Genomic DNA, 22,056 nt, shown 5'->3' on the forward strand with positions numbered 1-22,056 from the left:
AATAACTAACATTCAGACTCACTAACAAGGTTCATAGAATCACTTGTTGGAATTGCCAGTTTCAAGACTTATTTTGCTTTCAAAATTTGTTATTTTTTTCCGACACTGCTCATAGGACTTGTATAAGTATCCTATGTGTACAAACTTACCAATATTTGTTTTATTTGCAAAAATGACTTACCATTAGAAGCAGACCAGGTCACAAACACACACTTATAACCAGTGTGTGCTGGTAAACTGACTCTCCTGGAGAAAAAAAAAAAAACCCTTATATGTAGGGTTTGCCAAATTCTGAGGGGAGGCATAAATGTTCCCACAATGGTCAATGCCCAGCTACCGAGGGGATGTCACTGAGAGCTGGGAAGAGCAGCATACAACTGGCTCTTCTTGAGCCAGCGCTAGCCCACCACCACCTCTACCCTGGCAACAGCAGTCGGAAGACTGATTAGATGATGGCCTTTTCTCTCCTCTACTCCCCAGTTCCATTCAGAACTTAACTTTCCTATGGGTGCCTCAGTATTTTCTACTCTCGCTTTTGATTTGGTGTCAGTGGATTCCTTTGAACTAGTCACATCTAGTTCAACATGTTGATTGCTAAGCTTTAATTCTCACACAAAAACACTCTTACCAGGTTCCTAGATGTCTTAACTTCTTTTTCTCAGGAATTGGCATTTGGAAAAACAGTATTTCCGAGAAATGCTGGGAAGGAATTCCTGCATAAAAACACAAATCTGGCCGGGCACGGTGGCTCGTGCCTGTATTCCCAGCACTTTGGGAGGCTGAGGCAGGTGGATCATGAGGTCAAGAGATCAAGACCATCCTGGCCAGCATGGTGAAACCCCATCTGTACTAAAAATATAAAAATTAGCTGGGCGTGGTGGTGCGCGCCTGTAGTCCCAGCTACTCGGGAGGCTGAGGCAGGAGAATCACTTGAACCCGGGAGATGGAGGTTGCAGTGAGCCGAGATTGTGCCACTGCACTCCAGCCTGGGCAACAGAGGGAGACTCCATCTCAAACAAAGCAAAACAAAACACAACACAAATCCAGGAAACCCAAGTAAAACCTATTTGCTTGACTGATCGTGATCCTACTGGATACATTCTCCTGGGTCCCAATTTTGGCCACCGCTCATTTTCATTGATCTCATTTTAAGGGGTTTGAGGTATGGAGTCCTTAGGATTTGGTGTTAAGTTTGGTGATTTTTCAGAGAGGCCGCACCAGAGCTGCATCGGTGATCATTTGACTTTATGTCTGACCCTGTGCACAGGGGTCTACTTGTCTCCTAACCTCAGTTTTCCTCTTTTTCCTTATTAGAAAAACAACAATAACATCAACACAGTCCCTCTTGGAACTAGGAATGGCCAGTAGAAGTGGTGTGTGACTTCTGGGAAATGTCCTTAAATAGAGGCGGAATACTCTTCTTTGTTTTTTCTCCTTTATCTGGCCAGAATGTAGATATAATGGCTGGAGCTACAGAAGTCAGATTGGACCAGAGTGGCCTTGGGAGTAGAAGCCCCATTTGGGGGAACAATAAGATAAAAGGGGCCTGGGTTCCTGATACTGTGGGAGCCCATATCAGTCCTATACTGCCTTCTTCCAGGCTTTTATACCAAAGCAAAACAGTCTTATTTAAACCACTATTGATATGTGGTTTTCTATCACTCATAACTGAAACAAATTAAACAGCACACCAGTGCATTGTATTCTGTTACATAGTTTATGGGAGGCCATTGTTTTGGACTAGCCTCCTACACTGGCCCTAGCAGAGCAGATCAAACCAGAGCAGAGTCACCTGTGCTAACTGCCAAGTCATCAAACCGGACTTTGAAATGAGGCAGTTTTCCAAAAACGCAGGAGCTTCCAGTCACCCTGAATCAGCACAATAAAAAGTGCCCTCTGCTTTAACCCTATAAGGAAAGCAACTTTGAAATGACCAATCTGCTTTTTGTTCCCTGTTTCTGCTTTCTTCAGCCCTCTTTTATCCATAAAGCCAAACTTCTCTGCCCACTTCACTGGAATACTCATTCTATTTCGTAGAATGAGGTGTTGCCTGATTCTAGAATCACAAATAAAAGCCAATTTGATCATTACAAATAATTTGTTGTAATTTTGCCTTTGGGAAGTTCCTAGTGAAAGCAAAAGCTACTAGCAAGAATCCTTGAAAGGTTTGTAATGGAGGTGAAAATGAAAGACTGTAGCATTACCCAGTGACTCAGAGAGTGTGGGGGAGGCAGCTGCATCTAGTGATAATGGATGATACATTTGGAATAGAAGAGGCTGTGGTTTCATGCATGCCTGTCTTCCCATCTGCCAAGAAGGCTGATGAATAAGCTTTTATACTCCTCTAAGTTGGTAAAAGAAGTTTTCAGATTTTTAATACTCAAAGGTCTTTTCACAAATGACTATGACCTTTTCTTTTCTTTTCGAGACAGGGTTTCACTCCCGTCGCCCAGGCTGGAATGCAGTGGTGAAATCTCGGCTCACTGCAACCTCTGCCTCCTGGGCTCAAATGATCCTCTCGCCTCAGCCTCCTGAGTAGCTGGGACTACAGGCATGCAGCACTGCGCCCAGCTAAGTTTTGTATTTTTTCTAGAGACGGAATTTTGCCGTGTTGCCTAGGCTGCTCTGGAACTCCTGAGCTCAAGTGATCCACCTGCCTTGGCCTCCTGAAGTGCTGGGATTACAGGTCGGAGCCACTGCGCCTGGCCTCTATGCCTGTGGTCTTTAGTTTGTAGGAACCAGACCACTCAAAGGCTGGAACGTACCTTATTGCTCTGCCAGTGAATGGTTTAGGAACTGGCTGAAGGAGCTGGGGATTCAGTCTAGGAAGAACTTACAGGAGTTGGGATTGGGTTTGAGAGCTGCTTTCACACATCTAAGTAAAAAAGATTTAGCCTTCCTCACAGAGGGCTCTAGGCCAAAACCAGAACCCAAAGGTGGAGGCTGCCAACTTTACCCTAAATTAAAGAGAAACCTCCTACCCATCAGAACTGGATGGAGGTAGCTTTTTGATAGCAACTCTCCACTGCTGGGAATATTTAATCAAAGGATGCAGAAGGAGTCATTAACTGAGCAGCAGTTCCCATATACCAGCCTATGTATTGGTACCTACCTGTCTATAACATTTTCCAGGTCTCAGCCAGGCACGGTGGCTCATGCTTGTAATCCCAGCACTTTGGGAGGCTGAGGTGGAAGGATCTCTTGAGCCCGGGAGTTACCAGCCCGGGCGACACAGGGAGACCCTGTCTCTACAAATAATTTAAAAATTAGCCAGGCATGATGGTGCACACGTGTGTGGTCCCAGCTACTTGGAAGGCTGAGGAGGAGAATCAATTGAGCCCAGGAGGTCGAGGCTGCAGTGAGCTGTGATTGTGCTACTGCACTCCAGCCTGGGTAACAAAGCAAGACCCTGTCTCAAAAAAAAAAAAAAAAAAAAAAAGAGAGAGAGAGAGAAAAAAAGGCAATGTAGTACATTTTAAAAATAAAACTAAATATTTGCAATTTGAAGTACATTCTCTTTATTCCAAGATTATGTTCTTTCTATTTCAGGAGGTGTTATAATGTCTTTTTTTAGTAGTAGGTGGTATTAGCTATTGTTGTTTAACACCCTAATTAGACAACATAAAATCTTGGCAATCCTATATAATTCCATTAAAATTTACACTGGCTATAAGATCTAGAAGTCTGGTAATATGGATGAGATGACACCTGGTTGTCTGAATTGACCTTCCAAGGATTAGTAGTTCATTCGAGTGTCTACTAGATGCCATTTTTGTGTATTTACAGCAACTAGATAATTTCATGGTTCAAATCAGAGAAACCAGTAATGTGATCCACGTGCTTATGGTAACTTAAACTTTATTGACTATTCATTTTTGACACATATAGCTACTTTTTGATAGACATGAATTTTCTATTTGCATTTAAAAACAAAACTAATTTTCAAAGTTCTATTCTCAAAATGGCAATGATGACCTTTCTAAATGCTCTCTTTAAATAATCCTCCAATATTCTCAGAAATTTAGTGTACCTACAGCAAACTATTTCTCTTAGTAAAAGCCTTCTGTGAGCAACTTAACTGTCTGATGTCTTTATCCGTGTGAGCAGGGACTGGGTCCTGTCCTTTTTCTTTTTTTTTTTTGTTTGAGATGGAGTCTCCCTCTGTTGCCAAGCTGGAGTGCAGTGGCATGATTTTGGCTCACTGCAACCTCCACCTCCAGGGTTCAAGTGATTCTCCTGCCTCAGCCTCCCAAAGTAGCTGGGACTACAAGTATGCGCCACCACGCCTGGCTAATTTTTGTATTTTTAGTAGAGACAGGGTTTCACCATGTTGGCCAGGATGGTCTCGATCTCTTGACCTCATGATCCTCCTGCCTCGGCCTCCCAAAGTGCTGAATTACAGGTGTGAGCCACCACGCCTGGCCTGGTCCTGTCCATTTTTACAGAGCAGAGAGCATCTAGCATGCCACCACATTAATGTAATGATAATAATTTCCATTTGTCTAGAGACTTATGCTTTACAAGGCCCTTATAGTTTACTTCCCCTTAATGGTAGTTCAAGTAGCAGAGAATGACCTTTTCATTGTCCTTCTCTGTGATAAGCCAAAGTGAATGTAATGTACATTCTTCATAGTGAAGGCTTTCTACCTCATTCATTTATTCACAAAATATTTATTGAGCATGATTATGTGTTAAGCACTGAACTGTGCTCTGTGCTGCTGGGCACTGTGTGTTAGGTACAAACACGGCAGATGGAGCCCCTTCCCCCATGAAATGAACATTCTAATGGGGCGTTAGTCAATAAACAAATAAATAAATAGATTGTCAGGGGGTAATGAGTGTTATGGGGAAGAATAAAGCAGTGGGAGCTGGGAAGCAATGGGAGGATGTCAATCTTAGGGACATGAGAAGGCACCCTCATGCAGAGACTTGGGCAACGTGAAGGATCGCCACTGTGTGACCAACTGGAGGAAGCACGTTCCAAGTCTTGTGGCAGAAAGGAGCTTGGCTGTTTGAGAATCAGCAGTGATATCAGTGTGGCTGGAGGGAAGGGAAGGTGGGACGAGTGGGTGGGAGATAATTTCCAGAGGTGGACAGGATGCAGATTATATGGGAGTTTGGATTTGATTCTCAAGTGTGATGGGACACTATTGGAGGGTTTTGAGCTGGGGAGAGACATGCCATGAAATGTGAAGTCTGGCCTGCAGGGAAGCAGGTACACCAACTGAATGAGTTCAATTTGGAGATATATATATTTGAGATGGAGTTTTGCTCTTGTTGCCCAGGCTGGAGTGCAATGGCACGATCTCAGCTCACCGCAACCTCCGCCTCCTGGATTCAAGCAATTCTCCTGCCTCAGCCTCCCGAGTAGCTGGGATTACAGGTGTGTGCCACTACGCTCGGCTAATTTTGTATTTTTTTAGTAGAGATGGGGTTTCTTCATGTTGGTCAGGCTGGTCTCGAACTCCCAACCTCAGGTGATCCGCCCACCTCGGCCTCCCAAAGCGCTGGGATTACAGGTGTGAGCCACCGTGCCCGGCCCAATTTGGATATATTTTAAAGGACTACCTGATGCGTTAAATGTAGAAGATGGGGGAATGTAGAATGCTCCACAGAGTTTTGTCCTGAGCAGCCAGGTGAGTGGCGATGCTTTTATTTACTTACATGAGAAGAATTGGGAAGGAATACGTTAGAAGAGGAGACTTGAGAAACCAAGAGTAAATGTTTTGGATTAGTATTAATTAAATTGGAAAAGTCTATGACACATCGAAGTTCAGATGTCAGATAGGCAGGTGGTTATTCAAGTCTGAACTTAAGAAGGATGGGTTAGGGCTGGCAAAGTTGCTATGAGATCCATCCTTGTGGATCTCTGCTGCCTGGTCAGCTTAGATACAGTAGAAGCCATTTAACTTATTCTAATGGCACCTAGAAATTTAGCATGATCTCCTAATATCTTCACTACATTTCATCTGGAATATTTACTACATTCTACATCTACTGAAACTATCAGACATTAGACCAATACATTTCAAAATACAGAAAGTATAATTTGAAAAGTTAAAGAATATGATTTTCTATTGAATTTACTTAGCTTATTTAGAAGTCACTTTGTTTCTGAATGACAGCTGTATCAACATGACAGCACTTTCCTTGAGGATCCACAGGTAAGAGCTTTGTGGTGCAGATACCTGTTGAGCCAGCAGTCTCTTTCTAGAATTCAATCCTAAGGAAATAATCAAAGACTGGATCATTTTCTCAACAAAGATGTTCATCTCGTCATTATTTGTAAAACAAACATTGGAAACAAAGTAACCACCAATAAATAGTAGATTCAATAATTATAGCATAGGACAGGCACAGTGGCTCACGCCTGTAATCCCAGCACTTTGGGAGGCCGAGGGGGGCGGATTGCCTGAGCTCAGGAGTTCGCAACCAGCCTGGGCAACACGGTGAAACCCCATCTCTGCTAAAATACAAAAAAATTAGCCAGGCATGGCAGAGTGCGCCTGTAGTCTCAGCTACTCGGGAGGCTGAGGCAGGAGAATTGCTTTAACCCAGGAAGCAGAGGTTTCAGTGAGCCGAGATTGCACCACTGTACTCCAGCCTGGGCGACAGAGCAAGACTCATCTCAGAAAAAACAAACAAAAAAAATTATGGCATATTGATAAAATGGAAAATTATTCACACATTAAAATGATGTCAACAAGTTTTTTGTAACATAGTAGGTATAGTTATGATATGAAATTAAGTGAATCATAAGATATAAATGTGCACATACAATATGATCTCAATTACATAAAAATATGCATGTATAAAAAATGACCAGACAGAAGGAAATGACTTCAAAATGTTTAGAGCTATTAACCACAGGGGATGGAATTCCTTCTTATATTTTTGTCCAATCTTCCTATCATGGGCATGTATTATTTAGTATTCTGAAAAAAATCCAGCATTTGGATTGAAGGCAATGAAAAAGAAACAGGAAAATAGAACTAGATTTGGCCTGGGATTTGGGACTGTGGTCCTGGTTTGCCTTCCCTCCCACTTTGAGCAGAGGGAATGCCATGCTTTCTCTAAGCCCAAGATTTCTCACCTGCAAAATGTGGACAAGCATCCTGCCCTGTCTCCCGCTTGGGGCTGGTGAAAAGATTCAGTGGTTATGCCAGCCAAAGGGCTGATCACAGACACAGTTCAAAGTTTGGAATGTGAAGTGTCCGCCCCAAAGTTCCAGGATGTCCTGCTTCCTGAAGAGCACAGTTAGTCCAGGAAAGAAACTGAAGGGGAGCAAAGTTCACAGCCCCTTTGGGCATCGTGTCCAGGGTCCCCTAGGAGGTGGGTCTTCCAGCGTCCACGACATGTGAGCCCAGTCCCGACTCCTTCGTGCCTTAGGGTTGGTAGTTAGATGGGAGAGACCTCAGCGATCACCTGATAATAATACTTGTTTTATAGTTATATTTAGTGAAAATTCACAAGTGTCAGGATTGATGCCTTTTACTCATTTTGTTCACCATTTTGTTCATGAATTCCACCCAATATCTACCTGTGTAGTTGGAGTTATTAAATTCATTGTTATATGGCAGAATTTCCCTTTCGTAAGGCCTGACGCACACCAACTCCTGCTTTTGGGATGAGTGAGATTCACACGAAGCTGGGATAACAAAAGTTTGCCTTCTGTAAGACAACTCAAAGCTCAGAGAGAGACAGAGATGCTGGGGGCATAATAACGTAAATCTAAGTGATGTACTACGAGGCAATCACTGGAGCTGTGCTAAAAGTCTGACTGTCTCTGGGTGCTTGAGGCTTAGGTTGTTTTCTTTCATCTCCTCCTTTGTGTTCACCCATTTGAAATCATCTCCATTCAGGAGAAAACAAGATGGAACCCAGTGACTGGCCACCATGGACACATGCAAGGGAGAAGGAGAAGTCCCCAGTAGGAAAAGGTGAGTCGGAGGGAGAGTTTAAAGAGCCCACGAGGCTTAGGGCTGGAGCTTGGTAGTGAAGGAAGAAGACTAAAGAGGATCCCAGGTAGACTGAAAGAGGGGCAACTGCTTGGGCAGCAGCCAGGGTTGAGAACAAAGGTTGCCAAGACCTTTGAGGAACATGAGGGGCAACCTGAATAGGGCACAGGACCCACCCCTAATCCTTCCTCTATGGTGGATGCTATGGACATTGCAACAGGCAACTGGAACCCAAGGAAAGAATCCTTGAATTTCTTGCAAGTGACTACCTGGCTAATCCTCAGACAGACACTCTTCTCCAGTTATGGTTAAAGCTTTGCCCTTCTGAAATTAAGGATATGGTAAGGGGTTTCAGTTAGATGAGGAAATTAAGGCTTAAAGAGGCAAAGCACCAAATGCAATGAGAGGACCTTATTTAGATCTTAATTCAAACAAAGATACCATTAAGAGAGAGAGAGAGAAAAACATTAGGACATTATGAGACAATTATAATTTTCAAATTTAGAAATGACTAGATATTTGATGATAATAAGACACTACTAACATTTTACACATGATAATAGTATTGTGCAATATGTTAAAAGAAGTCATCTTCTAGAGATACCTTTTTAATGGGTATAATAAAATATTTATGGGTATAATGATGCAGTGTCTGCCATTTGCCTCAGATTAATGATGGAGTTGGAGAAGTTGGATAAGGTTATAAATGGAAGAAGGTTGGCTATGGGTTGGTCATTGCTGAGGCTGAGTGATGAATAGAACATGGTTGTTAGTAAAATTATTCTATTTTTGTGTATGTTTAAAACTGTGCATAATGTTGAGGTCTAGCAACTTGTCTGTTTCTGTGGCTAGTAAGTGACGAAGGTGAAAGGGACCTAAGGGCTGTTTGTTCCCTGAACCTGTGCTCTTGATGACTTTGCTCCTCTACATCCTTCCAACCCACCTAGGGCAGGAAATGTCCTCCCTAGCATCCCCCACATGTGCTCTGTCTTCTGTCTAGACACCTTCTGAGTCAGGCCATTTCACTGGAAGATTCCTCTCCACAATGAGCTGTAACTTTGATCCCCTTATTCTGCTTCTTGTCGGAGAAGGCTTCCCTGACCACTGCCACCCCAGGCTAGAGTACGTAGCCTATGCTAAGCTTCTAAAGTGATCTATACACTCCTTCATGGGACTCATCACACTGACAGTTAGTTACCTATTCAGTGTCACCTTCTCCTCTTGGCTACAACCCCATCGAGTCAGGGTCTTACCGGCTACATTTACTGCTGTGTGTAGCTCATTGACCAGATAATTTGCCTTAGATATATGAACGCAGAAGGGGTTGGCTCTCAGTATGGCCAGGTCACTATATACGGGTGAGTTCCCTGGAAGATTGGTATCCTGGGAGGCCCAGGTCAGAGGACCCACAGAATCCTCAGTTCTTTGCTCATGGTGCTTGCTTTGGGTTAGAGATCTATGTGGTGGGTGGGTGCATGGGAAACAGTGCAAGAATTAGATTACTTCCGTGGGGTTTGACATTTTAGAAGTAACCGAGTATTGCCTGTTATTTTTCAAGGCAATAGAAAAGAAAAAACAGTGAACGCAAACATGACATATCTAATCTTTATGAACCCACCTAGGGCACTTTGAGCCTAGATTGTCTTAGAATTGCTAAAGGGTGGCTGCTTTGTCAATTTATGTGCGTTTTTGTTTTCTGTGGGAAAGCTCCTGGGATTTGGCCAAAGGGGCTGGAATTACATGCAGTGGTCCCTAGGATGCCAGATGAGTGTAGAAAACCAGCTGGGATGTGCTGCGGAGGGTGCCCTGCTGAAATCACAGCCCGGGATTTTGTGATCTGGTTCTTAGGGACAGGGGGACATGTGGGCTTACAGAAATTGTCATACTTGAACTGTTCAAGCACTACTGATGGTAGTGCTTGCTGTATTTTGTATGAAAATATTTATTCATTTTTCTATTTTCTTTTTATTATGTAAAATCAAAGATAAAACACATTTAAAAGGAAACAAAGATGGGATGCAGTGGCTCATGCCTATAATCCCAGCACTTTGGGAGGCCAAGGCAGGAGGATTGCTTGAGGCCTGGAGTTCAAAACCAGCCTGGGCAACATAGGAAGACCTTGTCTCTAGCAAAAAAAAAAAAAAAAAAAAAAAAAAAAAAATCAGCTGGGTTTGGTGGTGTACGCCTGTAGTCCTAGCTATGTGGGAGGCTAAGGTGGGAGGATCACTTGAGCCCAGGAGGTGGAGGCTGTAATGATCCATGATCATGCCAGTACTTCCAGCCTGGGTGACAGAGTAAGACTACGTCTTAAAAAAGAAAAAAAATAGAAAGCTTAAAATTGCCATTAATGTGCACATGTACCCTAAAACTTAAAGTATAAAAATAAAAAATAAAAAATAATAAAAAAAAATTGCCATTGGGGAAGACTAAGAGGATAGACTTTTTTTTTTAATTTTTGAAAAGAATATGTACTTTTTCTTCAAGAGTAAAAGTTAGTTTCTAATCCTCTGTATTCAGATTTTATTGCTATTTTTCATTTTCATTTGTGCTATCCGTAATAAAAGTAGTACTTTTTATTTATAAAATGAAATTCATTTCTTTTTTTACCATGGTAAAATATACATAATGCAGCATTTACCATCTTAACCATCTTTCAGTGTATAGTTCAGTGGCATTAAGTCCATTCACGCTGTTGTGCAGCCATCACCACTACCTATCTCCAGGGCTTTTTTCATCTTTCCAAAGTGAAACTCTGTACCAACCAAATACTGTAATACTTCCCCACTTCCCCCTCCCCCTAGCCCCTGGTAACCACCATTCTACTTTCTGTTTCTATGAGTTTGAAAACTCTAGGTACCTCATATAAGTGGAATCATACAGTATTTGCTGTTTTGTGACTGGCTTATTTCGCTTAGCATAAAGTCCTCAAGGTTCGTCCATGTTGTAGCATGTGTCAGAATTTTCTACCTTTCAAGGCTGAATAACATTGCATCGTATGCATATAATAATTTTTACTTTAAGAATTCTTATTATTCTTAAAGTAAAATTCTTAAAATCTCAAAGACACATAAAAACACAGAGAATAGTATAATGGGCTCCCGGGTACCTGTTCTCCAGCTTCAACAAACTCGCTTTATCTGTACTTCCATCCACTCATCCCCTACCTTATCAAGCTAATTCCAGGAGTATTGTTTAATTTGCAAATATTTCAGGATGTATCTAAAAGATAAAGGCTCTTATTAAAAACATAACCACAATACCATTCTTAGGCCCCCAAACATTTCACAATAAGTCTGTAGTGTAATTAACTCTCAAGTCAGTGTCTAAATTCCTGTAGAGTTTTTTCATTTGATTGTATTTTTTTTTTAATTGTAACTAGCCATTTAAGCTTCCAAAGATCCGAGTGGTAGAGAGGGGTAGTTCGAAACCAAGATAAATGGAATTTGTACAAATCGGACTGCAGTTAAATTTCATGTTCTTGGAACAATCTTTTCAACAGTCTTTTCCTTGCCTGTCTGTTCCAGCCTGTCTGCTCACCTGTAAAAGCAACAAGAGTAGGTAGGAAAACAATTACTCCTTTGCAGTTGAGACACTCCAAAGATTAAGCCTGTTAATTATTTGTACTCTCTGTTCTGGATTTGGCTTCTTCTTACCCTCCTCCAGGAAAATTGAGTAATGCCTAGTTTTGAGATGGGTAAGAGGATTGTCTCTTGAATGTACGTGGAACTATTAACAGCAACTTGAAAATGAAAAGAATTATGACTGAAAAAGAAAGAAAAAAAATGAGTAAGAGATACTGGAGGACATTGTAAGATGGATCTAAGGATAAGGATAAAATAACAAGATTAGCCAGGGAATTTCTAGGACAACAGTTGGAAAATCATACCCTGGGTAAAGGATGTGAAAGAAGAGATTTGGGGCAGGAATTTTACCAACAATCTAAGATAAAACTTTCCTATCTTGTAATCATTATTGTTTTATGTTAAATTAGAGTTGCCAGATAAAACACAGGATGCTTAGTAAAATCTGAATTTCAGATAAACAATGAATACTTTTTAAACTATAGCTATGACACAAAGTATATAGACATGCTTATACTAAAAAAAGTATTGTTTGGCCGGGAGCGGTGGCTCACTCTTGTAATCCTAGCACTTTGGGAGGCCGAGGTGGGTGGATTACAAGGTCAGGAATTTGAGATCAGCCTGGCCAATATGGTGAAACCCCGTCTCTACTAAAATTACAAAAATTAGCTGGGCATGGTGGTGGGCGCCTGTAGTCCCAGGTACTCGGGAGGCTGAGGCAGGAGAATCACTTGAACCTGGGAAGCAGAGGTTGCAGTGAGCCAAGATCGTGCCACCGCACTCCAGCCTGGGTGACAGAGCGAGATTCCGCCTCAAAAAAAAAAGTATTGTTTATCTGAAATTGAAATTAAATTTGAGCAACCTGTATTCTTATTTGCTGAATCTGGCAAGTTCATATTAAATGCATGGTAGCCAGGCACGGTGACTTATGCCTGTAATCCCAGCACTTTGGGAGGCCGAGGCAGGCAGATCACCTGAAGTCAGGAGTTCAAGACCAGCCTGACCAACATGGTGAAACCTCATCTCTACAAAAATACAAAAAATTAGCCAGGCGTGATGGCGAGTGCCTGTAATCCCAGCCACCTGGGAGGCTGAGGCAGGAGAATCACTTGAACCTGCGTGGCAGAGGTTGCAGTGAGCTGAGATCGCGCCATTGCACTCCAGCTTGAGAGACAGAGTGAGACTCTATCTGAAAACAAACAAACAAACAAACAAATAAATACATAAATAAATAATAAAAAATTTAAAAAAATATTAAATGCATGGTGATTCAACTTGTAAAACCGAGGACTATTTGGCCTTTAGGCTCTTAGTTTTCTTTCTTGGGATATGATTGAGTTTTCCTTATTCAGTCTACTTTTCTTATATATCTATCTAACATTATAGCATTATATTTTAAAAATTGGCCCAGTTTACATTAGCACCAAGTATAAGTGTATAGTCATGCACTGCACAATGATATTTTGGTCAGTATGTATGTTTTGGTCAATGATGTGTGGTCTGCATATATGACAATGGTCCATAGTTTATGATTCCATATTTTTACTGTACCTTTTCTATGTTTAGATACACAAATACTTACCATTGTGTTACAATTGCCTACAGTGTCCAGTACAGTAACACACTGGACAGGTTTCTAGCTTAGCAGCCATAGGCCATGCCATATAGCTTAGGTATATATTAGGCTAGGTTCGTGCAAGTCCAGTCTGTGATGTTCCCACAATGATGAAATCGTCTAATGACGCATTTCTCAGAATGCATCTCAGTCTAAACAACGCATGACTCTACTTATTTTCTTCTACACTTAGCAATATTAGGTCTGATTAGTCTTTTCATTTTTGCTAACCTGCAGGGCAAAATGTTTGAGAGCTATTAGTTTAGAGCACTTCTTAAATGAGGCAAACTTTTCTCTTGTGATTCCTATAATCAAGGTTTTATTCAAAAATAATTTTAAATTTTATTCTATATTATAGGAATGTGTACAATGAAATGTAATGATGTATAATACATTGGCTGTTTTTGAATTCCAACCATGGATTTCCCAGCTACTGGCAGTGAAACTGATCTTTTCTGTACGTACTCAAGTCAACACTCAAGAATTTCAACTTACCTTTAGCGAAAGCAAATATTTATATTTAAAAAGAAAACATTTGAATTCAGAATTCATTAAGATAAAAAAGTTAGCAAACTACAGATGCCTTGTTAGTTGACAGTCCTAATGGCGACGTCTAGGTCAGATAACTTATATTGACTTAAAACAGCATTGTCTTGACTTTCCACAGTCGTATTTGTGATTATGGAAATAATTTTAAAAAGACTAGTCTCTTTAATTTACATTTTCACAAAACGCTGTTGAAAGAGCAAATGTCTGCTCAGTTGTTTTTCCTTTGCTTAAAAAAAAAAAAAGTGCCAGGAATCCCACCCCACCCTGCTGCTGGGTAACAGTCAATCATTTATTATTCCTGGATCAAACACAAGCATTCATGCCTATGAAAACGTTTGGCAATGAATGGGATCTTGGTCTCTACTAAAAACAAAAAATGGCTAAAAGGAGACTTCAATTTATGTTCAAATTCTATGGCTGAATTCCTATAATTCCTAACTGGTGAAAATATTGGCAAGCTACAAGATTTTACTTAGAGTCAGATTTACTTCTTTGGTGTATGCCCAGAGGTGTTATTGAAAGCTATTTGTGGCCAGCTTTCCAGGAGACCAAATGGGCCTTAAATGGAATGAATATTGGCCCTGCAGTACAGTGCACAAGGAGAAGGAGGAGAATTGGACACTTTTATTAAAAAAAAAACAAAACTCATTGGTTATACTTAACTAATTTCTACATAGAAGTTTTAGTATTTGGCAAAGCAAAAAGTCATATCTCAGAATCACCAAACTTACTATATCTGAACCCTTTCTGTTGTATTTTGGTATTAATCCAGGAGTTATATATATTATTAAAATCCTCATATAATCATGTAATCAGCCTCACTACCTATTAATACAATGACTTTCAATCCAGACTCAACAGTTTTCCCTTCCTCAAGCCTAATCAGCCTGATATGGTTTGGATGTTTTGTCCTTTCCAAATCCCAGGTTGAAATGTGATCACCAATGTTGGAGGTGGGGCCTAGTGGGAGGTGTTTGGGTCATAGGGGCAGATCCCTTATGAACGGCTTCATGCCATCCCCATGGTAATGAGTGAGTTCTCACTGTGTCAGTTCACGTGAGAGCTGGTTTAAAGAGCCTGACACCTCCATCCCCTCTCTCTCACTCCCTGTCCTGCCAGGTGACACGCCTGTCCCCCTTTGTCTTCTGCCATGAGTGGAAACTTCCTGAGGCCTCACCAGAAGCTGAGCAGATGCTGGTACCAAACTTGTACAGCCTGTAGAACCACAAGGCAAATAAATCTCTTTTTGAAAATAGATTACCCAGTCTCAGATATTCCTTTATGGCAATGCAAAATGGACTAACACACAGCCCTAAACCTAATTAAACCCCTAGAAACCATTACATCCTCCAAAGTAATCAATTCCCCCAAAACTAATCATACCCCTTCCCCTAAGCACTCCCAATCACCAAGTTAACCACTAGCCATGATCCACCAATCATCCATGAAACAAATGTCATTGTGGCAGAGACCACTAATCTTTCAATATCCATTTTTCACTTCCTCATTTCACCAATAAAACCCTCTACATTTTAGCTGAGCACATGACCTCACAGACAGATATGATATCTCCTGCAATCCTTTGCATCTGGGTAAGGCCATATGACTAACTTCTGGGTAATGAGATGTTTGCAAAAACAATGCGTTCAACTTCCAAGTCAAGTCCTTAGGAAAAACTATCCATTCTTTCTCTGTCCCCCTTTCTTTGGGCTGGACGGTTTGAAGGGAAGTGGTGAGCCGGATTTAATCATTTGCATGAGGACAACACTATAGGGTAAGGTGGAGCAGGAAGAAAGAATGGGGCACCCAAGTCTTCTTGGGGAGCAGTGCAGCCTACATGCCTTGGACTGTCTACTTTGGCCCCAGATGTAATGTAACAAGACTACGCATCTTAGCAAGATGAAAAATTGTTTAAAAAATTAAGTTTCCACTTTGGGAGGCCGAGGTGGGTGGATCACGAGGCCAGGAGATCGAGACCATCCTGACTAACACGGTGAAACCCCGTCTCTACTAAAAATACAAAAAATTAGCTGGGTATGGTGGCAGATGCCTGTAATCCCAGCTACTCGGGAGGCTGAGGAAGGAGAATGGCATGAACCCAAGGAGGCGGAGCTTGCAGTGAGCCGAGATTGCACCACTGCACTCCAGCCTGGGCGACAGAGCAAGACTCCATCTCAAAAAAAAAAAAATAATAATAATTAAGTTTCTTCCTATGACTAATCTCTGTGTAGAAGCAAACAAATAAAATAAAAGACCCTGGAGACCTGATAACCTCCCAAGCCTCAGTTTCCAATGTAACTAACCCACAAAATGAAAAGTTTTCCTTTAAACTGTCTGAAAATTTTAGCCAGAAAATAAAGTGACTTTCTCATTATGTATCTGAAATCCTGTTAGTCTTAAAAAAAAAAAATGCTTTGATGCTTGACTTCCTCTGAGTCTAAAAAAAAAATCCTGTAAAACTATAAAGCTACTTCCTAAAACTAATTTAAACAAGGATGACGGTGGCTATTAAAAAATTCTTAAATTTCATTCAGTTCAGAATGGTTAAAAACAGAACACACAAGCAAGGTGTGTCAACTGCTCTGGTAAAAAGCAGCAGCAGGTTGCTGTCAGTGCTCATGTGCCAGGGTCCCCCAGCCCAGATGCACATAGGCCCAGGGCCGTTGTCTCGCACCTACAGTTGCAACATAGTGTCTCCCTGCCCCACAGGTCAAATCCCGAGGTGTGGTCAGCCCACAGAAGAATTTTGGAGGGCCCAGCACTTTCCAGGGCCTGTCACTTGGACATTAAAACCTGCGATCATCCAAGAGAAACAGAGGTTGGCCCCCCAAGTATCCCTGTTACAGTCCAGGAAGGTGAAGTCACTGGAAACTTTTGGTGAGAACTTTGTGTTCCCTTAGCGGTGAGGATTTGGGAGAGATCAATGAGGTACTTTAGGGTTAGGGACTTTTAAAACTAAATCTGGATGGTAAATCTAGATAGAATAGGAGCCCTTAGTAAGGCTGGTGGACCATAACGACAGACATTCAACACCTGTGGGATGAGTCAACCTCTTCTCAATCCTCAGTATTTTGAAATGGATGGTGTTGATTTGTACCACCGTGTGTATTATGTGGGCCTGTGGCTGTCTGGCCCAGTGTTGCAGGGTTTTTGCTGGAGTTGTATCGTTCAGGTTAACTGTCACAGCAATAAAAAAAATATGAGAGTGGTTCATGCAGATGATAGTTGTGTGATCCAAGCAAAAACCACCACTTGGTAGTTCCTATAGCTCCCTTACCCAGTGAGTTTGGTGAAATGGGGTTAATTGAAGCCTCAGGCCCAGCTGTCTCTTATAACGGGATTTTCTACCAGAAGATTCAGTTGAGCCATAATGTGCACTTTGAAGACTATTTGTGAAGGTTGCTGAAGTAAAGGAATGCAAGTGTTTTACTAGTGGTGAAATCGATTCTGTTCCAAAGTGTTTTTTATGCTATTACAATAGCAACATTATGAGGAGGACAGTAACTCAGATATTTAGAGTACAGCTGAAGATTTACTTGTGTATGGAGAAGACAAGGATTGCATAGATCGTCTCCTTGGACAAAGGTAAAGGCAGAGTATACAAAAACAAAACCTGGCCGGGCACAGTGGCTGATGCCTGTAATCCCAGCACTTTGGGAGGCCGAGGCGGGTAGATCACCTGAGGTCAGGAGTTCCAGACCAGCCTGACCAACAAGGAGAAACCCTGTTTTTACTAAAAATACAAAATTAGCTGGGTGTGGTGGCATGCGCCTGTAATCGCAGCTGCTAGGGAGGCTGAGGCAGGAGAATCTCTCGAACCCAGGAGATAGAGGTTGCGGTGAGCTGAGATCACGCCGTTGCACTCTGGCCTGGGCAACAAGAGTGAAACTCCATCTCAAAAAACAAAACAAAACAAAACAAAAAAAACCTCCAGATGGTCTCTGTTTGTCCTTGGGTGCACTGATCAGCTGCAAAGAGGCAGTTTGTCTCTCAAAGGGCTGACAGAGTTATGAGGAAAGGCAGTTCTTAGTTGTATGCAGGTTTTCTGAGAATTCTGGCTACTTTAGCTATTGAGTGTTGGTCGTGCATCCCTGTCTGCGTCATGACGGCCTGTATCTTTCCATGGGTACCTGCACTATTTCTCTCATTGGAATTTGTTACATGTTTAGACTTTAGGAAATTAATAATGTGTGAATTCTGCAATGATGCTTTGGGGCCTGAGTTGAAACACGAATGTGCAAATATATGTCATAGCTGTTGATGCTTAGCTTGCAGAACAGGGGATGAAACCAGCATACTGCCATATCTCTAAGGCCATGGGTCATCTGGCTGCATGTTGGATAAAGCACAACACACAGTGAGATCTTAGAAAGCCCATTTCCTAGGATAGAGAATTGTGATAACAATTGTAAAAACATCTCATCTTCTCAGAGATATAAAAGTGAAGATTTTATTGTCATACCTTTTGGGAGTATGTCACAAAAGATGAAACGTTCTTGTTGTCTGGAAACAGCCAAAGAATCTAAGTCCACATATAAATGCATAATTTATTATTTCAGATGCGCATAAGGAAATAGTACCCATAATCCCAATTACAATTATATTGTCCACTTCATCAGAACCTGAGTGAGACTTAAGGGCAAAGAATGAGCTGATCGCGCTCTTTCTCTCTGATCAAGATCATGCTTTCCCTTTCTCCTCCCACACCTGCACACCCAGGAAAGGCATGCAGCAAGAAGCTCAAAATCTACAAGCCAGGAAGAGAGCCCTCACCAGAAACGGAAACAGCTGGCACTTTGATCTTGGACTTCCCAGGCCTCCAGAACGGTGAGAAATAAGTGTCTGTTGTTTAAGCCTATAGTCAGCCCAAGCTGACTAAGAAACATGGCCGCCCAGAATTAAGGCTTTATTTTTCAGCATCTTCTGCAGTGAACTGCATCTTCTGTGGCCACATGAATAAGTTCAGGCTAATAAGTTACAAGCAGAATTAAAGTATGGTAGCTTCTAGAAACCTTTCTTAGAGGACAGCTGGTATATGGCCTTTGCATCCCTTCCTCCTTGTCACTCTTTCTATCCTACTGCTTGGAATGTGCTGTGGAGCTGGAGCTCTTGCTGCCTTCTTAGACTGTGAGGTAATACGGACCACACTGTAGGGATGATTAAGAAGTAAGCTAGAAGGAGTTTGAGACCCTGAGGACTTGAAGGAATAGAGCTCCTACCACAGTCCCAGATTGCCTATGCTTCAGTCTCTACACAGGACAGAGAAATAAACTGCCATCTGGTTTAAACAGTGCTTCTGTGAGACTCTATTATTTGCAGTTAAGCCTAATCCTTGCTGATACACACCTTTTCCCTTATGTTAACTTGACTTCATGGGGCATAGTCCATAGGTCTCTAGGTCATTTCCTCTTAGTGGTGAGAGGCCAAATCTTGGTCCCTCTGATCACAAATACAACATGTTGAGAATGCTGTCTTCCTACCTGCAGCAAGGAATAGGGACATGTCTAGTCATCCCAGGGACTTAAGTTTTCCAGGCACTTCAATTCATTCCTGAAATAGTAGCCATGAGCTCCATGGGGGCAATGTGACTTCACTTTTACTCTGTAGGGAGCATCGCATATACAAAACATATAAAACACCTATCCTTTGCTTAAAGATGTCAATTCTTTCCTGAAAAACCTTGCTGCTCAGGGGAAAATAAATCATTAGATGGAAAAATATTTCCATTTATTTTAATGGGAAACCTATGATGCATTTCATTCTGACCAATGATATCCTCAATATTCACACATAGAAAAATCTATTGACTGAACAATGAAAGCAAGTTTATGTAAGAAACAATAATTAGAAAGTTATTAGGTAGAAGTACATAGGTAGAAGGCATTTATATGTGAAAGATACTATAGTGGAGCATATTTTACTCTCAAGGGAGGAAGAAAGATGTGAGTGGGCTGGTAGAGAAGAGATCGGAGAGGTCATTCTTTGGCAGGTGCAGTCTTCTTTCTGTACTATTTTCTTCAACAATTTTTCAACATTTTGAGGCTTCATAATCATCTTGCACTCAAAGGGCACCACAAATAAAATCATAGCACAAAAAATACTTTTAGGGCAAAATAAAAACTAAGTACGTGAGTGCTTCAAATAATGTAAAAAATAGTGCACGTGCACAGCCCACTGACATATCACAGAAGATGCTACCTATCTCTTCATCCCCCTTGCATGCCAATATGTTTGGGATTCTTTTTTAAAAAATTGTATTGCACATCACTCCTTTATTTTTTATTTTTTTGGAAGATGGAGTTTCGCTCCTGTTGCCCAAGCTGGAGGGCAATGGCGCAATCTTGGCTCACTGCAACCTCCGCCTCCTGGGTTCAAACGATTCTCCTGCCTCGGCCTCCCCAGTAGCTGGGATTACAGGCATGCGCAGAAAAAGGATTTAGTACAGTTATGCTTAAATGAACACTAGGCCCTTGTGGCAGGGCCAAGCAACTAGAACATGATTCAGAAATCAATCCGTGAAAGACATACTTGGACAGGACGAAGAGGCATTTCACCACCATGAAACAAGGCAGGTGAAGGATTCTAAAACACACAGCAGGAGGCACTCCTACCCCTCAGAGCTTATCTCATCTTGGTATGAGGAATGGCTTATATTCTGATGACCACATGTGGGACTATTTCAATCACTACAAGAAACACCAGAAAGGTTACTGTTTAGTATTATTTACATATACTATACTTTTTTTTTCGGTAAAAGTAAATGTAACACATAAACTAAATTCAGGATTGATCCCAACCTTCTAGAGCCAGCTCTTCTGGGGTTGGGGAGGAAATGTTGTTTGTCACATCATCATGCAGGTTACATTCATCTTCCACTGGAATGACTAGAGCCCCCAGGCAGTGGCCTGACTGCAGAAGAGCAGAGAACTGGCTCCTGGGGCCAGATAGGTGCTCTTGCTTCTCCTCATTGGTCATGGCTTAGCATGGTTCCTCTCCACAAATCCTTAGTAAAGAAAACACTGGCAAAAACCCAAGTCACTACCTTTCAACTCTCTTGGACAAGGGAATCTTTTCCTCAGCTTGGACTGAGAACCTGTGACCTAGAACTGCTATTCTGACTAGACTGTATGAAGGGAGTGGGTGCAGGAGACAAATGGCTAAAACGAAAATGTGAGCCACTGGTCCCCATCTGCAGCTACAACATAAGATGCCTACAGATGTGGTCAGTGTGACATGTGCAGGGGGCAGGGGCAGAGGAAGGGATGGCCAGGGAGGGTGTTCCGGGGGACAGTAGCATGCCTGCTGGCCTTCGCTTCTTAGCCTTGCTCTGGGCAGCCACAGCTTCCATGGCTTTACACAGAGTCACTTCATCCCCCAGGAACTGCATGGGCTTGATGGGCTTCAAGTTCTTGTCCAATTCATAGACGATGGGAATACCAGTCGGCAGGTTCAGCTCCATGATAGCCTCTTCAGAGAGACCCTCCAGATGCTTGACAATGCCCCGAAGGCTGTTGCCATGGGCTGCAGTCAGTACCCATTTCCCCTCCTTGATCTGAGGAACTATTTCCTTCAGACTCTCACCGGAGGATAGCTGATCTTCAGTGAGGTCTGCATACCTGCAACCCTTACTGATGTTGCTCTACAAATGATGGTCGGGCTCCATCGGAGGTGGTGGCACATCACAGGAGTGCCTCCAGATCTTCACCTGGGCCTCACCATGCTTCGCAGAAGTTTCTGCTTTATTGAGGCCAGCCAGACTCCCGTAATGCCACTCCTTGAGGCACCAAGTCCTCACTACTGGCAGCCGCATCTGATCAATGGCATCTAGCACTGTCCAGAGGATCCGATCGCTCTCTTCTGCACTGAGAGGAAGCAGGTGTCAAACTCATAGCCAGCATCTCGCAGAGCCTGCCTGCCGCGCTTTGCCTCCTTGTGGCCTACCAGGATTAGATTGGCATTGTACCAGCTGCTGAAGTGATTCTCCAGGTTCCACGTGCTCTCACCACATCTGATCAGTACTAGCTTGTAGGTGACCATGGCGGTGGGCTGGGGATGCAGCCTATGTTTTGGATTCTTGCAAATTCCTATTTGTTTCATATGGTATTCTCTGACTGGGACTTGCTGTGTCAAGTAATAAGTTGGTGAGTGTGTCTTTGCCTGAAATCAGAAAGTCAGAATATTCTTGTAGCATATGTCATTGGATAAAAACATTGTTGTACTGGGGGGAGAAAAAGGAGTCCTTGTCTGGGACGTAGTAGAAGCTTTCAAAGCCATAATGACAAGAAGTTGTCACTGAGCTGTTATTATGTGGATAAGTATGTAATTGGGATGATGGGGGTCAGAAAGAGTCAAC

General features: G+C 42.2%; 1 pseudogene, besides 1 other annotated feature; it reads right to left on the reverse strand.

The window, feature by feature from the left end:
• Positions 1,077 to 2,276: an enhancer, noted in NCBI's record as "P300/CBP strongly-dependent group 1 enhancer chr9:35923268-35924467 (GRCh37/hg19 assembly coordinates)". NCBI's record gives its function as "activates an origin of replication core promoter dependent on BRD2, BRD4, P300/CBP, MED14 and CDK7 cofactors, with strong dependence on P300/CBP, by STARR-seq in HCT116 cells {active_cell/tissue: HCT116}" and the evidence as "EXISTENCE:reporter gene assay evidence [ECO:0000049][PMID:35650434]".
• On the reverse strand, positions 20,816 to 21,762 carry PGAM1P2 (phosphoglycerate mutase 1 pseudogene 2; annotated as a pseudogene).

Source organism: Homo sapiens, chromosome 9 (assembly GCF_000001405.40).
Source record: "Homo sapiens chromosome 9, GRCh38.p14 Primary Assembly".
Taxonomy (NCBI): domain Eukaryota; kingdom Metazoa; phylum Chordata; class Mammalia; order Primates; family Hominidae; genus Homo; species Homo sapiens.